We start from the raw sequence: 20,055 nt of genomic DNA on the forward strand, positions 1-20,055 counted from the left end.
TGGTAGAGGGGATTTCAGTGGTGGGAATGTTTATGGGTGAGACAAGCAGTAGCAATGAAGCCACAAGTTTCCTGTTGGCTGAAACGTCTAGTTGTAGATTTTCCCTGTAGCTCTTCCTTCCCAGGCTCTTGATTTTAAGTGATTAGTTTGCTTGGAAGTCTGGATTTACAAAAGTCTGCTTAAGGTGCTTGTTCTTCATTAATGTAATCAGACTTTACCCAAATAGTTAATTCTTAGTGATCTCCACCAGTTAATTCAGTGGCCTGATTGCCATTAGCCACTGATGTGACCTTAGTTGAATTGCTTGTCTGAGAGAGCAGTGGTGTAGTGGAATGGTGGTGTAGTGAATTTGGACCTGTAAGGTTCCTTTTAACCCTATTTGTAACTGATTTTCAAATTCATCGATTTTATCTGGCTAGCGACTGTTTATTATTACTGTTGTTTTAAAACACCCTCCTAGAAGGAATCCTTAGGCAGTAAAAGGTGTTAATCTCTTTTGTTGCCTCTCTTATTGCTAGCTAACCAAAACTGTATCTCCAAGTAATAAATATTTGTGTATCTCGAAGTAATAAATATTTGGGGTGATGAAATAAATTCAAGTATAATCATTTTTCAGGCTCAATGTCAGTTGGTGGGTTTATAAAGACTGAAGCCCAAAATTAAATATCCAAGAAGCCCTAGAGTTTATGGTGTTCTGTTTTGGGGGATAGCCTTACGTATATGAAATTAATAATGTGTATTTTGATGACCAAAGTATAATTATTTGGCAGGCTTTAATCCAAACTAATATGCTGGAGAAGATTGGCTGTTTTATGCTGATGCGCTTCTAGGTATAACCCCATTTATGACTCTAGCTGTTTTCTTTCACACCTTTCTAAAAGGGGCTTTTATTCAGCCAGTAAACACAGGTATAACAAAACTAGCCAGTGCCATATGTTAAATATCTTGAATATCATCCATGTTTACAACATAATATTTTAAGAATTATATCATTTGGTCTTAGATAACCCTTCAAGGTTGCTTTTCAGGGAGAGATGTAAATCATTGTATCATGGGTTGGCAGAGAAGAGAGAATCAGGACTGCCTGTTTCCATTTTGGTTTGGATCCTTTGAATTGGGACTATTTTCTATACCTCATCTTGCACTGTTGAGGTTTGTGTGTTTAGTGTGGCTGAGAATCATTGCTTTTGAAGGGATGCTCTCTGCCCGTCTACCTGGTGTCATTCATTTGTTTCGTTTTTGTTTTTTGTTTTTTGAGACAGAGTCTCACTCTGTTGCCTAGGCTGGAATGCAGTGGCGCTGTCTTGGCTCACTGCAACCTCCGACTCCCAGGTTTAAGTGATTCTCCTGTCTCAGCCTCCCAAGTAGCTGGGATTACAGGTGCCCACCACCACACCCAGCTAATTTTTACATTTTTTAGTAGAGACAGGGTTTCGCCATGTTGGCCAGGCTAGGGATCCTGACCTTAGGTGATCCACCCGCCTCGGCCTCCTGAAGTGCTGGGATTACAGGCGTGAGCCACCGCTCCTGGCCTTATTTGTTTTTTAATTAGTGTACCATTCCATGCTATAACCTAAAACAGTAAGTAGAAGTCTGGAGGCCGTGATTTTCACATCCAGGAACTCAAGGGAAGAATGGAGTGTATAGGCAGAGCATGGCCGTGTCCACCTGTGCCAGGTTTTTGTTTTTCACTGTGCTTCATCTTTAACACATTTGTTGAAGACTTTTTGACATTGATAGACTATGTCTAGCAATAAGACATTAGTATTCGTTGTGGATTAGAAGGTAATCCCCACATTATTCCCCTCACCTTCTGCAGTTTAGCTTTGATTTCACTACCTAAGAGGTCTTTTTCTGGAAAGTACACTTTTTTAATGTATGGCAGCTTCAAAAGCAGGAGCTGAAGAATGCATCCAGTTTTCCTAGTCTGCTAAAGGCAGGGACTGTGGAAATAGAATCAGAATGTCGTTATTCTACAACTTTTCTAAATCAAATTTATTTCCCAAGCATGAAGTGTTAACAGCACCCTACCCACTGGAATATTTTGAGGGACAAAAGAAATTCTGACTTGATTACCAGGACTCTCGTCTCCCTCTTAATATGTCTCTAAGAGGTTTTTTGCCCTGGAATCCGGTGCCCGGTGATCTTAGGACAATTCCCCATTTGCAGCATAATTTATAAGTTACCCATTCTCTCTTTCCCCTGTAATAACAAAATTGCTGTGATAGCCATCCAACCAGTTAAAAAAAATTCAGGTAATTCATTTCTAAATTGGAACTTGTTTCTTTTAAATCAGCCTTGTAATGTATTACAGACATCACTCTCAGCATTGGCTACAGAAGTGATTTAATGCTGAGTTTTTAATGATTCCTTCATTAATCCTGGTATTCTGGGATTTAACACTCACTGGCCAATGATGAAAACTTTGATTTCATGCATATCAGATAACGCTGGGCAGTTGCTGAAGCCATGAATCTTGCCTCTGTAGTGGCATGTATGATTGAGAGTGTTGCGGATGGATGGGTGCTCTCCCAGGCCGTGCACTGCTGCTGAAGAGGTGAACACGATATCTTTATCAGCTCAGGGTGACCTCTTCCCAGCACAGTTGCATTTGAAGCAAGAATTTGCACTGACAGCTTCGTCTCCTAGATCTCTGGACTTGTGAAGTCAAGCTTCACCTTTTCAACTATTTCCTAAAAGATGCTTTCTTTGAGAACATGTCCCTTGATGTCTATATTTTGATTTTTTTCTTCTAATAAAGTCATATAATTTTTTAGTAGAAAGACATCGATAGGACTATCTAGTCCACCTCCCTCATTTTGCAAACAAGGCAGCGGAGTCCACGAGGAGTGACATAACTAGGCCAATGCTAATAATAATGAAAATTAATAACAACAGCAGTGACCGCCAACATATATAATGCTTACTGTGCGCCAGGCACTATCTAAATGTAGTAATTCATTTTTTCCCCACAAAACCTTCAGGAGGTAACATTGCACAGCAAGTCCAGTATCCCACACAGCTTCTTTCTGTACCTCCTGCTGCTCTTAAAAGCAGAGAAGACAGTGTTGGTTGCATTCCTTACTCTTAATGGAAGCATTACAAATGTTCCATGGAAGCGAGGTGCCAGTTTATTTACTGTAGAGTCTTATGGCCAGAGTGTTAATATACCTTGAAAAAATGCCATGTTCTTTCTTCCCTCAAAAAAAAATTATTGCTTAGTGAAGAGGAAGTCACCTTATCCATAGAGTCTTCTCAGAGGCTGTCATATTACAGTGTGCTGCCTTAGTTACTTTGTTTTGAACATATGAATTAACCAGTGCTATATGAATGTCATATTGGCAGAATCGTAAAACAATAGCTAACTTTTTTTTACACAGATACAGTAATTATTCCTGTGAGTGTGACCCCCTCATTACAAGCACCATGGAAAGTAACCTGTTAAAGCTCACCTTGAAGAGCAGTGCTCTAAGGTATAAGTTGGCAAACTTTTCTTCAAAGGGCCAGATGGTAAATATTTTCAGCTTTGAGAGTCATATGGTCTCCCTTGCAGCTATTCAGCTCTGCCTTTGTAGCGGTAAAGCAGCCATAGATGATGTGCAAGCAAATGGGTGTGGTGTCCCCATAAAACTTTAACTCCAAAAACTGGAGAAGAGTTTGCCTGCCCCTGTCCTAGGTTATGTTGTGGAGATAGGAATATACGATATACTTATAAGACAAATGATAAAATTTCAAAGTGAGAGAAAAGTACCTCAAGAAGTGTCTCTATTGATGGTGTATACTCTGGTGTTGAATACACCCATACCGAGTGCAGCTTGAGCAGAACTTTTCTGAAATGTATACTTGATGATGTATAAATGTTATAAATAAATACTTTATTTGATTAGTTAGATATTTAGGATAAATAAGAAACTTCTCCCATTTTTCTAAGTCTTCCCCCACCCCCCACCCCAGGAAATTAGGTAGCTCTTTATATGCAAGCATGTTTTCTTGTCATCTTTTTCTCTTGAGCCCTATCAAAGGCTCAGTTTATGAGGAAATGGCATGTTTTGGAAATTGTTTTCAATACAATCTGATGGCTTCTCACTTCCTTCCAATTGAGCCATCTCTACACTGGTCACTGGGGGTAGAACAGTTCACCACTTCTGTTTGGTGACACCAGCAACCATCCATCCACTTCTTGCTGATGGTGCTCTTCTGGTTATTTGAATCTGTGAGCATGTCCTTGTTTTTCTGGGTGTCTGATTCTCATATTTTGTTCAATGCTACCTAAGTCTTGCTATCTAGAACAGTTCTGAATCTGTAAAACAGCAGAGTCTTTCCTGTTAGAATTTTATTACTTTGCTGCCAGTTTAATTTTCTGATTTCTTTCTGGTGTCTTTCTCCCTTTTTTCATTCTCGCCAGTTCAGTGCTGACTAACCCTTTTCTTTGTATACCTTGTCAAAGTTTTTAATATGATCTAATTGAAGGCACTTCCCTGCACTATGGATTTTGCTGGTCTACTAGAGACAGTTTTTCTTTATTTTCAGCATGCCCCTTTTCAGATGCATCTGGAATAACAGCTGCATTCCCACTCCTGAATAAAATGGGTTAGGAAAGCTTCTCATTGGCAAAGCACCTGGATTCTTTGGCAAGATTGGAGGTAAACTCCAGACCAGATCCATCACCAGGAGAATGGGAGGACCAATTTTTATAGGGTGGGGGTAGACCATATGAATGAGGATGTGAGTGAACTCATGTTATAGAAGCACCATTTATATCTGTTAAATGTAAGGGATTAGATAATCTGTCATTATGCTAATTCTGGGTAACAGATGGTGGAGAGTTCTGCATCTCAACAGCAGTATTCACCATGGGGGAAATTAGCTTGCACCCAGATCAGCAGTTAGGCAGGAATTCCATTGAGAGAGAAACACTATTGATGATTACATTAGTGTATCCCTCTGAGAGCATCTACACATATGGTGGGTTCCTTCAAATTATCTATAGTTGACATATGCTTGGCCATGGCCCTTACTAAGTTACAGGACCTCTGTCCTTCTATCTATAAAGAATTTGAAGTTCGTTTAGGAAGATCAAGATTGGAAGTAGGTTAGGAAATGTGGCTCAGAGCATTATTGTATCATACAGTTTTTCTTCAAAGAAAGATGCCATACAGATGTCAAAAACATTGTTTGTCTGTCTTTGGAAATGAACTCCAGAAATGAAATGAGAAGCAGGAACTGGATGTGTTCTTTGTAAGTGCCATACCTTATCTTTGGTACAAGATTAAACAAACAAACAAACAAACAAAAGATTTAATTAAGTCCTTTGGCTTCACATTCTCTAAGGGACTGTCTTGATTCTGTAATTTTTTTTTTCTCCTTTGTGGTTTTGTTTTGTTTGTTTCGTTTTTGAGACAAGGTCTTGCCCTATCACTCAGGCTGGAATGCAGTGACACAATCATGGTTTATGGCAGCCTTGACCTCCTGGATCCTCCTACTTCAGCTTCCCAAGTAGCTGAGACTACAGGCATGCCATCATGCTCAGCTAATTTATTTATCTTTTTTTTTTTTTTAATAGAGACAGGGTCTTGCTATGTTGCCCAGACTGTGGTATTTATTTTATGTGGTATTTTGTTAAATCATAACTTCATCTACCCTTTGTATGCTGATGATTATCAACTTTTTATTTCTCCTTTTTTTTTTTTTTACCACATACCTGCTTTTCATTTCCATTTGTATCATCTTACTCTCATTTCATAGCCAACATGCTTAACTCTAATGCTGATTAAAATGAAGGTTTCAAACTCCAGTGTGCCCAAGAATCACCTGTGTAGTTTATTAAAATACAACCTAAGCAGTGGGCTAGACCCAGCTTTTTTGGTACTCAACAAATTGGAGTCTTCTCCTGTCAGATGATTCTATTCCTTTTCATATCGGCCAGACATACTGAGCTCGAAGAGAAGCCAAGAACCTAGACAACTCATTTTGAAGAGCTGTCCAGGTTGATTGGACAACCATTAAAATGTATCACCACTTGTACAGGGAATATTCCAGATGTGCTTTAAGTAGGCATAGTCATTCATATTTAATGAGTTACTAAGTTGGATTATGAGCTATGGTTCAAGAAGCATATAGCATTTTGGATTGGGAAATCTAAAAGCTAGGGGCTGCCCATCAATAATAGCTTTGATTCCCACCAGGAGCTGAAATAATTAAAGGTGTTTGATGCTGCCTAGGTGTTCCTTGGGGTATTGAGAGAAAGCAATTTCATTAGGAAGGTAGTGATTTAGTTATTTATATGTTAAAGAATTCTGTTATCAGTTCTTTCCTTCTACTCTTGCCATCCCTCCACTCCATGCACTCAACAAGGCAGATCCAAGCATTTCGTACCTGCAGGTTTTCCCCCTCTTCAAATCTTGCTGCATAATACTCCTGGATTAATTTTCCATAAATGCTGTTTTAATGGTGCTATTTCACTACCATGGCTATTTTAGACTTTGACCGCTTTTGTCCACCAAGCCCCCCTACTTAACTATATCTCTTCCTATCACTGTCAGCAGTCTCATCTCTTACTTTATGGAGTAAATATAGGGTTATCAGGAAGATGCCTTTAACTTCTTGTTCTCTCAGCTTCCAGTTTGCCTTCCTTGTTATGCTTGCTTTCTTACCTCCTGCCTTCCCATCTCCGTAGACAGTTTCACCTTCTTCTTTCCAAACTAATTGTTCTGCCTACATGCTCTAGATTCCAGTTCTTTTGTTCTCCTTGGGATTTTGTGCTATTGGCTATTCTCTTTTTAACTAGTGTTATTTTTAATTGTCCTTCAGTCTTCTATCCTATTATATCTGCTTTTCTTCTTCTTGCCTTCTCTTCATAGCCAAGTTAATTAGAATAATTAAAAGACATTTTAATTCTGTCCCGTTTGCTATTCATTCCTTTCCCTTCTAGCTTTGAACCTTCCCCATCATTCACCAATGCTTCCCTGAAGGACACTTCTCAGTCTTTACTTTTACTTGACCTCTCTGGAGTATTTAATACTTATCTTTTAAAATCTTGTTTTCTTCTACCTTTTCAGTATACCACACTTTCGTGGATTTCCTTCTACAACTCTGATAACTTTTTCTCAGTCTGCTTTGAATGCTCCTTAAATATTTGTGCTTCCTAGGCTTCTGTCATTGTCCCTCTTCTTACCACTATTCAGTCTCTGGGTGATCTGATGGTGATGCTGCTGACTTCCCTTTCCCTGTCTCTAGCAGGCTTCCCACCTATATTCAACTGCTGTTCCTTTACTCAAATGATCGCGTCTTTTGATGGTGTCACCATTTACATAGTCTTTTAGTCTAGAGATCATGTTGTCGTCTTTATCTCCTCCTAACTCCCAGTATGTAATTACCTACTGGTATATCAGGTTCATCCTATCCTGGCTCTCCTCACTGCCTGGTTTATGCTGTCAGTGTAGAATAACTCAGCAGTTCTTTTTACTAGCCTCTCTATTTCTAGTCTTACTGCCCTCCAATCCATTTTCTACATTACTGCTTTAATTCTCTTTTTGAAACACACATCTGATTTTTAGAATCATTCCATAACCTTAGGAGTGGAGTATACTGAGCCATGACCTGGCCCCTCCCTACCTCTCCATGTTTATATTTACATTCCCTGGTTCTCATTCACCATTCCTTTAAAAAAAAAAAAATTAAATGCATTACTATTTAACTTAATCTGCTCTCTGCCTGGAACATACATTTCATCTGGTTAGCTCTTACTCATTCTTCAGTGCTTCATTTCTCAGGAAAGTTTTGCTGTAGGTACTCCGTCTAAAATCTGAATTGTGCATCTTGTGTGTGTCTTCCCCCAACACTTGGTGCTTACTTATAATAAGACTCATAGTAGGTCAGGCATGGTGGCTCACGCCTGTAATCCCAGCACTTTGAGAGACCAAGGTGGGTGAATCACTTGAGCCCAAGAGTTCAGGTCCAGCTTGGGCAACATGGTGAAACCCTTTCTCTACTTAAAAAATAGCCAGGTGTAGCAGCATGCGCCTATAGTCCCAGGTACTCAGGAGGCTGAGGTGGGAGGCTCACTTGAGCCAAGGAGGTGGAGGTTGCAGGTAACTGTGATTGCACCACTGCACTCCAGCCTGGGTGACAGAACCAGACACTGCCAACAACAACAAAAAGACTCATAGCACACACAGCACTAGGTGACAAATAACTATTTTATTCCCAGTATGTAATATCTTTTCTGCCTTATAGAGGGTATTTGACTTAACAAATGCTCGTGTCCTTTCCATGGCTCCCCATGGGGTATGTCTTTATTTCTAGGCTTGGCTAAGGTCCGAAACACAGATGATGCCTTCTGTGGCATCATTTAGAGCATTAGCTTTGTCTACCACCCTAGAGGTCCTTCAGGTCAAGTTAGTCCGCTTGGTATGATAGAACAGAAAATATGACTTAAAAGGTAAATGTCTTTCTCAAGTTTCATCTTACTAAAGCCAGACTTGGAATTTAAAATCTCATGTTTCCAAATGTAAGTAAAACTCAACCTCATTTGCATGTAATCTCCAAATTGCACCTGTTTTCTTAGGCCACATGAACATTATATGGTTGTTTTATTTTTTTTAACTTTAGTTTGTGGGTATTTTTTTTCCTCCATCTCTAGTCAACAGCTTATTTACTGAGTTGAGTACATGACGTTGCCAGGCGCCAGTTCTTTGCACTGGGGATAGATCAGTGCATATGATAGAGAGATCTATTTTGTGCGGCACTTTCGTTCCAATGGGGGCAATCAGATAAAGAAGCAGTAAAGATATATAGGTGATGAAAAGTGCTATAGAGAAAACTAAAGCTATGAAAGAGTTGAGGGAGGTATTCCAGGGTTACGAGGGGGAAATTTTTTAGTAGGGAAGCCAGGGAAGAGTCAGGGAGGCCTCAGTGGCAAGGTATCAGGAGCAAGGACCTGAAGGATGGCAAAAAGCAAGTGGCAGAAGGCAAAGGCAACACTAGAGACAGAGGTCTTATGGTCAAGTGTCCTGGATAGCAAAGAAGGCTTTAGGGTTGGAGCAGAGGGAGCAAAGGTGGAGGTGGTGGGAGATGGGGTTAGCGAAGGAGGGAATGGGGACAGCAGACCTGTAGGCTGTACATGGCCTTTGCTTTGAGTGAGACAGGAGCCACTACAGAGTTTGGAGTAGAGGGATGGTGACAAGTTTTGTCTACTTTGACCTTCAGAGATTTATTCTGGTTGAGAACTATTCTGATTATTCTAGGTGAGAATGGAGTTTAGAGTCATTAATGCTTTTCTTGTCTCCTTTCAGTAAGTTAAAATCCCATTGACTTTTTTTTAAAAATAATTGTAGATTCACTGAAGTGGCAAGGGTAGTAGAGAGAGGGCCATCCCATGTACCTTTCACCCAGTTTCCACCAGTGGTTAGATCTCATATAATTATAGTACAATATCAAAACCAGGAAGTTTACATTGATACAGTGTCTTTGTATAGTTCTATGCCATTTTATCAACTGTCGATTCACATACATCACAATGAAGGTAGAAAATTATTCAGTCATCACAAAGGTCTCCCTAGTGCCACCCCTTCTACCCCTTTCCCTTCCCATCATCCCTCTGACAACTGTTTTCCATCTCCATAGTTTTGTCATTTCATGAACATTACATAAATGGAATCATAATATGTGATTCTGTGAGATGGGCTTTTTAAATTTAGCATAATGCCCTTGAGATCCATGTAAGTCACTCCTTATATAGTTTGTTCTGGTTGACTTCTAATCTGTGTGTGAATGTAGGAGACAGGCTGTCATGGTGGAAGGATGCCTGTTTTATGACTTGAGACCTGAGTTCTAGCCCAGGTCCATCACTAAATACTACTTACTATCTCTGGGTCTCAGTTTAGCCACCTATAAAATGAAGAAGAAATTACAGTCAAGATTCTTTCAGTAATAATTTTTTGGTGAGAGGACTGTAGTAGTCACCAACTCCATCTGCCTTTTTAATACTTACTGTGCAGTAATCTCCTATGGTCCTTAGTATATTGTCAAGCTCATTCTGACCACTCAAGAAACAGCTCATAGTGGTTTTATTGACATATTGCTGCTACTTGTCTTTTTCGAGTATAAGCTTGATAATAGGCCCCTATACTACTTAACAAGCTACAGCCATGCATTACTTAACAATTGGGATACCTTCTGAGAAATGTGTCCTTAGGCAATTTGGTCATCGTTGGAACATCATGCAGTGTACTCACAGGAACCCTGATAGTATAGCCTACTACACACAGAGGCTGTATGGTATAGCCTGTTGTTCCTATACTAAAAACTGTACATCATGTTGCTGTACTGAATACTATAGGCAGTTATATAACACAATGGTAAGTATTTGTGTATGTAAACATCTAAACATAGAAAAGGTACAGTAAAATTAGAGTATAAAAGGTACTTACCGTGAATGGAGCTGGCAGGACCGGAAGTTGCTTTGGGTGAATCATTGATGAAATAGGAAGTGAATGTGAAAGCCTAGGATGTTACTGTACGCTACTGTAGACTTTATAAACTGTACGCTTAGGCTACATTAAATTGATTTCAAAAAGTTTTCATTTTCAATAATAAATTAACCTTAGATTACTGTAACTTTTATAATGCTTAATTTTTTTAAAAGAAACTTTGACTCCTTTGTAATAACACTTAGCTTAAAACAAACATTGCACAGCTACAAAAATATTTTTTATATCATTATTCTGTAAACTTTTTTCTATTTTTAAAATTTATTTATTTATTTTACTTTTTAAAACTCGTTTGTTGAAAAGTAAGACACAAACATACACATTAGCCTAGACCTACACAGTCAGGATAATCCTTATCACTGTCTTCCACCTCTATATCTTGTCCCACTGGAAGGTTTTCAGGGGGCAATAATGTAAATGGAGCTGTCATCTCCTATGATAACAATACCTTCTTCTGGATACCCCCTGAAGGATCTACCTGAGGCTGTTTTACAGTTAATTTCTTTAAGTGGAAGGCATGCACTCTAAAATAACAATAATAAGTATGATAGTAAATACATGCACCATTAACATAGTCATTTATTATTGTTATCCATTACCATTACTGCCTGTACATAATTGTATGTGCTATACATTTATAGGATTCACAGTGCGGTAGGTTTATTTTTACCAGCATCACCACAAACTTGTGAGTAATGCATTGTGCTGCAGGCTATGACTACGCAGTCTCTAGGCCATAGCAGATTTTTTTAGCTCCATTATAATCTTATGGGATCCACCTGCGTATATGTGCTCCATCATTGACCAAAACATCATTATGTAGTGCATGACTGTATGTAAATGTGAAGATGAGTGTTTGGTTTTTCATTATTTTCAGTGATAAGTTGCAGAAAACTGTATCTTATCACTGAAAATAATGAAATTTCTCCTGCTGCCATAGCGCTCCAAACTAGAAATGTGTAAGGTATGCTTAATGCTCATTGAAATGATAAACAATCTTGTTGGCCTCAAACATTATCATCAAGTGTCATTATAAAGATATGGATAGAAGTGTGAATCTACATTGAACATGCACTACGTGACTATTAATAAGTAGATCCTAGTTCATGTTAAAAATTATAGGCTGGGAGGAGGGACTCACACCTGTAATCCCAACACTTTGGGAGGCCGAGGCAGGAAGAACTCTTGAGGTCAGGAGTGTGAGACCAACCTGGGCAACATAGCGACACCCCATCTCTGCAAAAAAATTTAAAAGATTAGCCAGGTGTGGTGGTGCACGCCTGTAGTCTAATTCATCAGGAGGCTGAGGCAGGAGGATTGCTTGAGCCCAGAAGTTCGAGTCTGTGGTGAGCTAGGATTGTGCCACGTACTCCAGCCTGGGCAACAAAGTGAGACCGTGTCTCAAAAAGAAAACTCATTATAATATGTCTGAGCTAGAAGTTATTTTGTAGAGCATTTAGATCTAGCATCTCATTTTATAGGTATGGAAACTGGCACAGGCTTAGCACATTTACATGAGGTGAAGCAGCTATAGAGAGAGCTGGGGTGAGAACCCATATCCTCTGCTCTGTGTTCCTGCTCTGTGCCATGTGGGGTTTTGTGAAACAGGCTCAGAATTGCTTTCTGGCCTGAGAGGGCTGGAGGAAGTGCATAAGATGACTTTCAGTACTGAAGAATAAATACCAATGCTGTGTGTAACTTCTTTCTTTTGTTGGTATGGATGATGGAGAATTAATTGATCAGTGTTTATTCCCAGCATTTCTGTTTGGCCATATACATTTGTTTTGTTGTGCTCTTCTCACTCTTCACCTATTTTTTATAATTTAGATGAGGATTTTTTTTTCCTGTTAAAGTGTTGATATGACACAGTATCTTACATTAGACCTTTTTTAACACACACGCACACACACACACACACACACACACACACACACACACACACGACTCTGCCACGCAGTGAATCTTTTTTAGAATGTTGGTTTCCTCTTTTCTAAGCTTTAGAAAACAAACATAATAAGCTAAGCTAAAAGCTGAATATATTTTTGGTACCTACAGATGTGAAATTATTTTAACTGGTAAGAAGTTTACTGTCTGCGATCGATTTTTTTCTATTGGGAAAATGAATGTAGTTGGGGAGTCATATTTGGTTAGAAATGTAAAGAAAATAACTAGGAGAATATCTCTTTGACCAACAACAGACCTACATCACATTTACCTTGTTCATTCATTCTTAAGAGCACCTAAATTGATCTCTTTGCTGGAATATAGTGGTATCTTTGTGAAAACCAGAGATTGATATGTTCTTGACTTTAAGATACTCATCTCTTATATATTCCACCCTTTAATATGCCGTTCACGGATATTTCTAAACTTGATTTTATTCTTCACCCAGTGGCAGTATCCTTGAAGCCACCTTCACTTCATCACCAGTCTTCTCTTGCCTTTCTCCTTTTTCTGAGCAGGGTGACTGAAACTGTTGGGTTTCAGGTGGGTTAGGGAACCTCACAGGAATTTATGTGTTCAGGTAGAGAACACGTCATTAAGTTCCTACTCAGCTAGTGGTGAGGTGACAGAGTAAGACAGAGTCCTTCCCTCTTACTCTATCCTAAGTACCTAAGCAGAGGATTAAAGATTAATCACTACCCAGCCACCTTTCCTGGACTCCGTAATTGGAGTGGGATTTGCCCAACCACCCACCTTAGACACTGCAGCTGGAATGGGAATTGGGTAATACAGGGCAAGACCGAGAAGAGAAAATCCTGTTGTATGTCCTTACCTGAGCCTTCAAGACTTCTTGAAGCCTAACTGTGTCACCTACCTCTCACCCTGGGCCTGGGCTCCGGTGTTTCCTAGTTTAGAAGAAAGCATGGCCTATGCAACTCAGGCTTAGGGACCATTTATTTTTATTTTGTTTTGTTTTGTGTTTTTTAAGAGACAGGCTGTGTTGCCCAGACTGGAGTGCAGTGGCCATTCTTAGGCATGATTATAGCATATTGCTTCCTTGAACCCCTAGACTCAAGTGTTCTTCCCACAACAGCATCCCAAGTAGTTGGGACTATAGGCACATGCCACCACACCCAGCTGGACTTTTTATTATTCAGCTCTTGAAATCGAACCTCATAATGTACTGTTAAGATCCTTCTGGTTGCAAGAAACAACAACAACTCTGACTATTCTAAACAAAAGGAAGATGTATGGGACATTATGAAGAGCTAATAGAACTCACTGGAGCATCAGGCTTGGAAAATAGATGGAGAACAGGGCTCCTGCAAAGGGCCAAGAAGCAGGATGCAGATTTGTTGTCTTAATTAGGAGCAGTCTGGCCAGGACACCCTCCCTTATGGTGTCACAGGGGCAGGACACCACTGTAAATGAAATTTGACTCTTCCCTCTATTTTGTATTACTCTCCACGCAGAAGCATTTAATAGGCAGAGACTCTGTCATGTGTCTCTGCCCCACCTGCCAGGGACAGGGACAGGGTAGTCATCTGATGATTTTCATCTTCTGTGGTGTACAGCTTAGCATTGCATCCTATTAAGAGTACAACAGTGTGATATGTTAAAAGGGAGATAACAGTTGACTGTTACATCCATTGTTTAACATGTGAAAGTTGACTTTCAAACACATATTGAAAGACCATATTATGCACAAAAGTATGTAATGACTGTTATCATTTTTTGTATCAGGACCCTTTGAGGTTACTGACTTGAGTCCAGAGTCTAGGACAGTGGTGGAGTAGAGAAAAGTCCCCTGAGTGACTACACAAACTCTCAATTCCTACTCCCGCCATCAATGACTTGAGAGAAGCTGAGGGTGTTTTTTGATACTTCTATTCACACTCCCCATACTGATATTTTTTGTGAAATTTTGTTTCTCAAAGGATAGAGGAGCAGAAAAAAAAATAAGGAATGAAGGAAACATACCTAGATCTACAATAAACATTTCTACTTTACGTTGGAATATATCCTGAGAAAAAAGAAGGGGTCATCAGACATTTTCGAATCATTTCTCCCATACCCCTCAAAAAAATCCTCTGAATCCCCAGAAGGCCTGCAAATTATTGTAATTAAATGTTTAATATATAATTTAGCTAACATATTAGAACTAGAGTGCTCAAATTTACAATATGTGGATAGATTATTTTTAATATGCTAATACATTTTTAATGTATTAAGGGCAACCTAGATAATTCATGCACACAGTATACTTATTTCTATTTTACAGAATTATAAAAGCACAGCAGTGTAATAAAGGGAAACAGGCTAAGAATCAGAAGGCTCTTAGATGCCCATTATGCTGGTGTCACTCTGTTTTTCTTTTAGACAACAACTCATTAAAAAATTTCCTTGGTTTCTCTCTGGATCTGTCTTCATCTGCGTATGAAGGCATTTGGATTAGTTTCTCTCTATGGAGTCTTTTTGCTCAAAAATTCTATGACTCAGTCAGTTATTACTTTGTTTTCATCCAACAGCCCACAGAACCTCCTAGGAACTCAGTGAGTAAAATCAATCAGCTAGCCAATAAATATTTATTGAGTGCCTACTAAGTGTTTTGCTCTTCTTGGATCTGTAGGGAATATGATCTAGTTGGGAAGACAAGATATGTACCCAGAAAAGATAATATACAGCAATAAAAGCTGAGTGCCAGATGAGTGGTGCAGCTACAGGCACCGGCATGGGGAGAATGCCAGGCTTGGTTGGTGGCTAAGGAGTAGCCTGTTCAGGCTAAAGCAGAAAGTTGGAAGGGATTTAATGGAATAGGGTCAGAGGTATGAGGGTAGATTGTAGAATACCTTTAATAGTCTGTTGCCCTGGAATTGTGGCACTGTTGAGTCAAAAGAAAACCAGGTTTGAAATCAGAAAACCTGGCTTCTAATCATGGCTCTGCCACTTACAAAATGATTACATGTGGCAAGGCTGCAATGTTTTTCTCTTTTTTGGAAGCAATATATACTGCCTTTGTATTCTGTATTACTAGGATGATTAGGTTAATGTGTGTTTAAATGCCTGTTCCATGGTGGACATCCTGTAGATGTTCATTATGTCTGAAATATTCTTTTGAGTAAAAATGGATGAGAGTTGTGTCATCAGATGTTTTCAGATTATAGGTTGGACAAGGTCATTGGCAATGTCCTTTTTATCACAGAAACACCATGTTTCTACCTCCAGCCTGTGTGTGCCTCCTTGGTTCTTTTTCACTTACAAGCTTTGTAACCTTTCTGTGCTTCAGGTTTCTCATTTGTAAAATAGGGAATAATAATAGTCCCTATCTCATCAGAATTTTGTGAAGATCAAATGAGTTAATAAATGTACAGCGTTTAGAATAGTGCTCAGTAAACTTTAGGCTTCCTCCTCTCCCCTAACCATTTCCTTTTCCTGCTCCCCTTTGCCCCTCTCCTTCTCTTTGTCCTTTGCTCCTTCCCCCTTCATTGTCATTATTCAGATATGATGCTAATGATTGTCTTCGTATTAGAAAATTTCTAAAAAAGTTTTCTGTGGTGGTTGTGGTGTGTTTAAGAATGAGGATTACTTGCCAACCTAATCCTTTAAGAAGATTCAGCTGACAGTGTTTGGAATTGGTCAGCATCACCAGGAGACCAGGTATGGGAGGCTGTAATAGTCCCTGTGAGAGGCAGTAGGAGCCTCAACTGGGGTAGAGAGAGAATCGAAAAGAAAATGTTCATGGGAAAAACACTGTAGGTTTGAGTTCAGAGATTTTTATACAGGAATGAGAGAGATGTCAGGCCTAGGTGCTGAGAGTATGATGGTCCTCCAGATAGGGCTGTTGGGAGGAGGAGCTGATTTGGTAAGATTCAAAAAAGCTTTTATCTAGGGAAGTGAGTTTTATTTTTGAAATGCTGAGTTTTACACAATGATGAATCATACAAATTCACATGTCCTGCAGATAGTTGAAAATGTGAATGCATGGCATATTTAGCAGTGAGTGGACCAGTTTAGTTGGATTGGAAGTTCATGTAGTTTACTTTCTTCAAGCTTGATCCAGTATTTGATTGGTCTAATCTTAATGTTTTTGAAGTATCTATTTGTTTCCTTCTGGGAAAGAAGCATGTTTGTTGTATAGCAGGAGTGTCACTTTGGGGACATTACCGCATGTTCTGTCCCATTTAGAGAGATTCAGACAAGTCTATGCAGTTTCTTTCTATTGAACAGGTTTCTTTTTCTTGTTTTTCTTCTCTCATTGTGATGATTGAAGATCAGGGAAAATATTAGATATTTGAAGATGGACATTGTTTTATTACCGCTTATATTTAATATGCCCTGCATACTTCAGCCAACATTCATCATGTCCTAACTTCCCTAGATATTTTGCTGACATGGAAATGCAGTGGTATTCAGAGAGGAGCTGGCATAGTGGAGTCTAATACCAGTTTTACTTGTCTTATAAAGCCATAACCATGATATTGCTGAATAAATGAGACTATCAAATAAGAGGTGGCAACAAGATTACAGTACTGCAGAAATCCTGGGGGCAGAATAAAATTGTCTATTTACTAAGCATAACTATTTGATATAACTGTTTGATGTTATGCCTTCTTCCTTCTCCTTTGCTAAATTGCTTTGGCCCATACTTTTAACACTGTATTCTCTACTTGCCAGCTTTATAAAGTGGGTTAGTTGTTGAATTCTACTGCTTCCATGTATATTTCTATCTTATCTTCCTCTGCCCGTTTGTTGTTCTTTCCTGAGATCTCAGGTAGATGCTGACCAATTCCAAATACTGCCTTCCTGGGTAGGAAGGGAATAAGTAGAAATGAGGTAATGGGTATGCTGTTTCTCAGAGATACCTTGGAGCAGACCAGTAGCTCTTTTGGCTAGGGGATTATGAAGTGACATTTCTCTATCATCCTTCTTATTTATTTATTTATAAGAGGTGAGGTTTTGCCGTGTTGCCCAGGCTGGTCTCAAACTCCTGAGCTCAAGGGATCCACCCACCTAGGCTTCCCAAAGTGCTAGGATTACAGACATGAGCTACCGCGTCCAGCCGATCACCCACTTTTAAAACCCCAGGTATCTTTGGTTTTGTTTCTTTTCTTCCCAAACTGAAGGGAGCTATTGGTACTCAGTGAGATGTGGCCTCTGAAGCTGGAGAGGTGTTTGTCAGGGCTCAAATGTAAGCTGCTTATTAATAATGAAGTTTCAATGGGTATGTGCTGTAGGGATTCAAGGGTGTATTTGTCTACAAAAAAGTCTTGTTTTCATTTTATGGAATGACTTTTTTCTCCCCGTTCTCTCTCCTCCTTCTTCTCTTTCCCCTTCCCTACCTCCCTTGTTTCTTTCATGCAGCATTTCTACCAATGTTGTTTATGGGTGTCCTTTGGTTTCATTCTAACCATGCATCCTTTTGAGTTCTTAAAATAGGACTAAGTCCATATATCAATCTTCATTGTTTTCTTTCCACTTCCTCCTCCCATGAGGAAGAATGATTAGGATTCATTAATGCACAGTCATTGTTCCCACGAGTTCTTGATTTTTGTATCTCCAGTATCTAGAAAATGCTCTCAACTCTCAGTTGTATTTACGATCACAGACCTGTACATACTCTGAATGCTCCTTAAATATGAACTAAAACTTATTAGAGAGATTCATTTAGGAGAATATTCTTTTTGCTTTATTTGCTCTAAGTTCCATACCTGCCCATTCATGAGTGTGACTTTTTGGGGTCATGCCTTTATGTTGCCATATAACCACAGCTGTGCTGGTGGGTTGTCAAAGGTTATAGACAATTGGCTCTCACAGCCTGGAGTAAGGATGCCCTGCCCCAAGGCGCTGCAGCTCTTGACAACCCTTGGTTTTCCCGTCACTCCACACTAGTTACCAAAGCCTGGCTAGGGATGTCGAAGCATTTGTATTTTTCTCCGTTTTCAATCTGTATTATGAATTCTGGGAAAGTCTGTAGCCACTGTTTTGATCCTCTGGTGGTTTTCTTGGTGGCAGGACTTGTTAAACAGAGAATGGGCTTTAAATTGTTAATCAGTGTAAATGGATTTAAAAAATCAATTTCAGTCATTTTTAGAACTACATAAGTTTAAGGGGGAAGTGAAAAATAGTGAAGAAGGTGGGAGAGAGATTTAGTAAATCTATAAAGCATGTGTGCCACCTCAAATGTTTCCAATTATCGAGGCTTCCAAAACAGAATCTCCTGTCTACGGATGCAGCTTGGTTATGTGAGAAGTACCTCCTAGATATATATGAAGAACAAAAATGGGGACAAAAATATCGATGATCCAGATTCACAGGAATTCAACCAGTGAAGACTGGAGAATAAAAAACACTGGGTGGGAAGGGTGTGGTGTGACTCCTTGAAGATGCCATCACACTAGCTTTTGGAAGTTCCCTGTTAGTTTCTATGACTTTTTCCTTGTTGGAGACCTGGTTGGAAAATAGTAACTTCATAAAAGATATTTGCACATTGCCCATTGTCTCTAGATCTCTCTCAACTATAATTTTTGCCCTTACCCTTTAGAGATTTCTTTTGTCAGCTTACAGAAGCCAAATCTGTCTCAAGTCTGAAATGGTCAGGTTCCTGCTTGAAAGAACATGGATGTTAGACATCTTAGTCTGAACTTGTAGGGAAGATCTGAAGAGAGCCTTGCTTTGGGCCTGTTCACCATTGAGCATTTTTCCTACTTGCTAACTGTCTTTTGGGATAGGTAGCCCACATCCTCCATATATATGAGCAAAGGAACTAATAATCTGAAGAAAATAGTTTTTCAGTCTTCTGAGCTTTCCACCCTGTTGTTGAATCCTGTGGTGACCTTCCTTACTCGTTTCTAACCTAGTTGCAAAGAAAGATATCAGCACCCTGTAGCTTTCCTTCTAGATCAGCCCCATGGTAAAACATCCCCTGCATAGCTGACGATAAGTGAGATCAGCCATGTGGTATGTTAGGAATCAATATCGGAACTCTGTCGCCTTCAGACCTCCATCCTGGCTCTTCTGAGAATGCCTGTAATTGTGGGGAAAGTATAGTCAATGTGTAAAGGGAGTAGAGGCAGTTTTCCAGCATTAAGACATTGGAGTTTTTGAGGGTCATGGGTGACAGAGGCCTAGGATACATGCCTGATGTCTCACAGTAAACAGCCATAAGGTGCCTTTTGTGCTGAGTTTATAAGATTTTATCACAGGGCCTTGAAGTTACCATAAAGAATATGTAATAAATATATGTGTGTGCATGCATGCAGGCATCTGCATGAGATATATGCCTCTACTATCAGTGAAGTAGTAGTTCCCCTTGACCTGCAATTTTAGTTGCCCATGATCAACCACAGTCTGAAAATATTAAATGGAAAATCCTAGAAATAAACAACGCATAAATTTTAAATTGTGTGCCTTTCTGAGGAGCCCCATTCGGTGAAGAGATATCTCACCTTCCAGCGTAGGCTATGAATCATCGCTTTCTCCACTGTATCCAGATTGTATACACTACCTGCATCTTAGTCTCTTAGTAGCCATCTCAGTAATTAGATCGACTGGCTATGGATGCTTGCATATTGTTATAATTGTTCTGTTTTATTAGTAGTTATTGTTGTTAATCTCTTACTGT

At 39.4% G+C, this 20,055-nt stretch overlaps 1 protein-coding gene across 2 annotated transcripts in view, besides 1 other annotated feature; it reads left to right on the forward strand.

The window, feature by feature from the left end:
* The window catches only part of SND1 (staphylococcal nuclease and tudor domain containing 1), a 440,400-nt gene that overhangs the window by 208,044 nt on the left and 212,301 nt on the right, over window positions 1-20,055 (forward strand). The window lies entirely within an intron of this gene.
* Window positions 10,408-10,527: a silencer, noted in NCBI's record as "silent region_18596". NCBI's record gives its function as "represses an Ori minimal core promoter by ATAC-STARR-seq in GM12878 lymphoblastoid cells {active_cell/tissue: GM12878}" and the evidence as "EXISTENCE:reporter gene assay evidence [ECO:0000049][PMID:35858748]".

The sequence above is a fragment of the Homo sapiens genome, chromosome 7 (assembly GCF_000001405.40).
Source record: "Homo sapiens chromosome 7, GRCh38.p14 Primary Assembly".
Taxonomy (NCBI): domain Eukaryota; kingdom Metazoa; phylum Chordata; class Mammalia; order Primates; family Hominidae; genus Homo; species Homo sapiens.